General features: G+C 49.6%; 1 non-coding gene across 1 annotated transcript, besides 3 other annotated features; it reads right to left on the reverse strand.

Moving 5' to 3' along the window:
* Positions 2,197-2,316: a silencer, noted in NCBI's record as "silent region_8884". NCBI's record gives its function as "represses an Ori minimal core promoter by ATAC-STARR-seq in GM12878 lymphoblastoid cells {active_cell/tissue: GM12878}" and the evidence as "EXISTENCE:reporter gene assay evidence [ECO:0000049][PMID:35858748]".
* Positions 2,197-2,835: a biological region, named in NCBI's record as "H3K27ac hESC enhancer GRCh37_chr17:66016003-66016576".
* Positions 2,262-2,835: an enhancer, noted in NCBI's record as "H3K27ac hESC enhancer chr17:66016003-66016576 (GRCh37/hg19 assembly coordinates)". NCBI's record gives its function as "activates a minimal SCP1, AML or CMV promoter by ChIP-STARR-seq in naive H9 embryonic stem cells {active_cell/tissue: H9 hESC(naive)}" and the evidence as "EXISTENCE:reporter gene assay evidence [ECO:0000049][PMID:30033119]".
* On the reverse strand, positions 2,272-2,344 carry TRR-CCG2-1 (tRNA-Arg (anticodon CCG) 2-1). The gene has a single exon. It is a non-coding gene; the product is annotated as a tRNA-Arg (tRNA).

Consider the following 4,221-nt stretch of genomic DNA (forward strand, 5'->3'; position numbering starts at 1 on the left):
TTATTTCACTAATTTGCAGATCTCTCACACACACACATATGCACAAACACACAAACTGTTCTAATTACAATTTGTTGTTCATAATATTTTGAAGACAGCAACAATAAATTATGTTTATCATAGTTGTATGGGGTAACTCCACAGTTACTCTGCTGTAAACTTTCCTTGGTACCGTCCTGGAAATCTGAGGCCAGCACAGTTGGACCTGCTCACACGTCCCTTGGGATAAGAATAGGGACAAAGTTTTGTAAGTGTGGCTGCCCATTGTTAATCTCAGCTTGAAAAAGTAGACAGAACTCAGAAGGCTGAGGCAGCAGAATCGCTTGAACCTGTGGGACAGAGGTTGCAGTGAGCCAAGATCGCGCCATTGCACTGCAGCCTGGGCTACAATATCGAGACTCCGTCTCACACACACAAAAAAAAGTAGACAGAAAAAGAGATGATGCCACATGTCTAGTCACCAGTTTGTGTTTGCTAAGGTCTTTTTCTTTTAAAAATCAGTATAAGTTAAGCAAGAATAAATGCTTCCTCAATGTGTGCAATTTTTATTTGTCAATTATATCTCAATAATGCTGGGGAAAAACACTTTTTAAAATTTTTATTTTTATTATTATTATTTTTTTAAGAGGGAGTCTGGCTCTGTCACCCAGGCTGGAGTGCAATGGCACCATCTCGGCTCTCGGCTCACTGCAACTTCCAGCTTCCGGGTTCAAGCGATTCTCCTGCCTCAGCTTCCAGAGTAGCTAGGATTAGAGGCATGCGCCACCACGCCCGGCTAATTTTTGTATTTTTAGTAGAGACAGGATTTCACCATGTTGGCCAGGTTGGTCTTGAACTCCTGACCTCAGGTGATCCGCCCGCCTTGGCCTCCCAAAGGGCTGGGATTGCAGTTGTGAGCCATCGCGGCCGGCCTAAAAGAATTTTTTTTTTGAGACGGAGTTTCGTTCTTGTTGCCCAGGCTGGAGCGCAATGGCGTGATCTCGGCTCACTGCAACCTCCGCCTCCCCGGTTCAAGCGATTCTCTTGCCTCAGCCTCCCGAGTAGCTGGAATTACAGGCGCGCACCACCACGCCTGGCTAATTTTTTGTGTTTTTAGTAAAGACGGGGTTTCACCATGGCCAGGCTGGTCTTGAACTTCTGACCTCGGGTGATCCGCCTGCCTCGGCCTTCCAGAGTGCTAGGATTACAGGTGTGAGCCACCGTGCCCAGCCAAGAATTTTTTTTTTTTAAGTAAATATTTCTTTTTAGGGGTCAGATTTCGTGTTCACTTGCAAGCTCTCAATGACAGTGTTTTTTGCCTCGGCCTCCGAAAGTGCTGGGATTACAGGCGTGAGCCACCGTGCCCGGCCATTTTGGTTTTTTAATTTTTTTTTTTTTTCTTTTTGAGACAGAGTTTCGCTCTTGTTGCCCAGGCTTGAGTGCAATGGCGCAATCTTGGCTCACTGCAACCTCCATCTCGCGGGTTCAAGCGATTCTCCTGCCTCAGCCTCCCAAGTAGTTGGGACTACAGGCATGCGCCACCACGCCCGGCTAATTTTTTCTATTTAGTATTTCAACAGTTGGTCAGTCTGTTCTCGAACTCCTGACCTCAGGTGACGCCTCGGCCTCCCGAAGTGCTGGGATTACAGGAATGAGCCATGGCCTGGTTTTTAAATTCTTTTTAAAGATTGATACTTCATATTGATTTTGAATTTTTTTGTTTTTGTTTTTTGAGACAGGGTCTCGCTCCGTTACCCAGGCTGGAGTGCAGTGGCCCAATCATATTATAACTTACTGCTAATTTTAAAATTTTTTTCTGGGGAGGTTGGGGTTGGGGGTGGTGTCGTCTCCTTATGTCGCCCAGGCTGGTCTCAAACTCCCGGACTCAAGTGATTCTCTCGCCTTGGCCTCCTAAAGAGCTGGAATTACAGGCGTGAGCCACCCCACCCCGAATAACAAGTGATATTGTGTTACATTCGTATAATGTGTAATGATCAAATCAGGGTAACTGGGATAGCTGTCACCTCAAACACTGATCATTTCTTTGTGTTAGGAGCATTTCAAATATTTTCTTCTAGCTACTTTGAAATATACAGTAAATTACCGTTAGCTATAATTACCCTACTGTGCTACCGAACACTAGGTCTGACCGTATTTTAGTACCCATTCGCTGACAGTGTTTTTAAAACTCTCAAAAGCACCTCTTTATTTGTGATAACGATAGCTGCCAAGAACCATCTCTTAATCAACTGTCCAATGATCGCCCTCTCTTCCACCAAAACTAATCTCACGCGACCCAGATGGGACTCGAACCCACAATCCCCAGCTCCGGAGGCTGATGCCTTATCCATTAGGCCACTGGGTCACCACAGGATCCGGCTTCTCACACCCTCTCCTTACGCGATGCCATCATCACGCTCCCGCCCCCGCGCATCGCGGTCTCGCGCCGAGAGGCAAGTGATTTGGCAGCCGCCCCCAGCGGCGGCGGCGCGCGCCTGCGCTTTTCTGCGTCCCTGTCGGCCGCCTGGACTTCCCGCGCGCTGCGCCATGGGCCCGGAGCGGCCGCAAGGGCCCCGGAGGGCCTGCGCGTGACCCTCCGAGCTCTCCTGCCCGGTAACTGCATGGCATCCACCCCGCCGGGTTTGGGTGCTATCCTTCCTGTCGGGTTCTTCAAGCGTTCTTAACTCCAGTTGTCCATTGGGCTCACCTGGGGAATTTTAAACAAGGTTCCAGTGCCTGCCCCATCCCATTCTAGTTCAGTTGACTGGGGCGGACCTGGGCGTCTTCATTTTACAAAGCTCCCCGGGACCCTCTGCAGGGCAGGCGGCGTTGGGAGCCACTGCAGATCGCGAAATCCTCCCGCAGCTTCCCTCTCCCGCCAACCTTCTTGTCCCTGTCTTCTCTTTCTTTCCCGCGTTTATTCAGCAGAGATTAATGTGATAACCTGTTATGTGCTGGGAACTGTTGGGCTCCTGGGTGAACAGGCTTTTCCACCCCACGAGAACTTCAAATCTGACCTTTGTCCCTACGGCCATTCACCTTCAGCCGTTTTCCTCCCCCTGACTCTTCTTTCCCTCTGGAGTAAAGGGAAAATGAACATAACAAAGTCCCTAAGTGCAAAATAGTACGGGTTTGGCTTCCCCCTTCCCTCAGCCAACATCCTGAAGTTAAGTTTTGAGTAAAGACTTGGAGACTTTCTGGTGCCATGCACACTATCTGTATGTTTGTTGCATGTAAAGATGCTGCATTTGTGATTTTTACAAATACACAATTTCGTTTTCTTCTTAGACACGTAACACTTGTTCTTCACAAGTCTGTTTAAAATATGGCTAAGCCGGCCGGGCGTGGTGGCTCCTGCCTGTAATCCCAGCACTTTGGGAGGCTGAGGCTGGCGGATCACTTGAGGTCAGGAGTTGGAGACCAGCCTGGCCAACGTGGTGAAACCCTGTCTCTACTAAAAATACAAAAAAATTAGCCAGGCGTTTGGTGGCGTGCGCCTGTAATTCCAGCTACCAGGGAAACTGAGGCAGGAGAATCGCTTGAACCTGGGAGGCGGAGGTTGCTGTAAACCGAGATTGTGCCACTGCACTCCAGCCTGGGCGACAGAGCAAGACGGTCTCAAAAAAAAAAAAAAAAAAAAAGATAAGCCAGGTAAAGAAAATCGAAATTGGGCCGGGCTCGGTGGCTCACGCCTGTAATCCCAGCATTTTGAGATGCCCAAACGGGCGGTTCCCTTTAGGTCAGAAGTTCGAGACCAGCCTGGCCAAAAAGGTGAACCCTAATCTCTACTAAAAATGCAAAAATTACCGGGGCGTGGTGGCGAGCGCCTGTAGTCCCAGCTGCTTCGGAGGGTGAGGCAGGAGAATCGCTTGAACCGGGGAGGCGGAGGCTGCAGTGAGCCGAGATCTCGCCATTGCACTGCAGCCTGGGTGATAGAGCAAGACTCTTTCAAAAAAAAAAAAAAAAAAAAAAGGGACCGTGCGCGGTGACTCACGCCTGTAATCCCAGCACTTTGGGAAGCCGAGGCGGGCGGATTATGAGGTCAAGAGTTCGAGACCAGCCCGGCCAACATGGTGAAACCCCGTCTCTACCAAGAATACAAAAATTAGTGGGCCGTGGTGGCGCGTGCCTGTAATCCCAGGTACTGGGGAGGCTGAGGCAGGAGAATCGCTTGAACCTGGGAGGCAGAGGTTGCAGCGAAGCGGGATTGCACTACTGCACTCCACTCTGGGCGATAGAGCA

Source organism: Homo sapiens, chromosome 17 (assembly GCF_000001405.40).
Source record: "Homo sapiens chromosome 17, GRCh38.p14 Primary Assembly".
In the NCBI taxonomy this organism is placed as follows: Eukaryota; Metazoa; Chordata; class Mammalia; order Primates; family Hominidae; genus Homo; species Homo sapiens.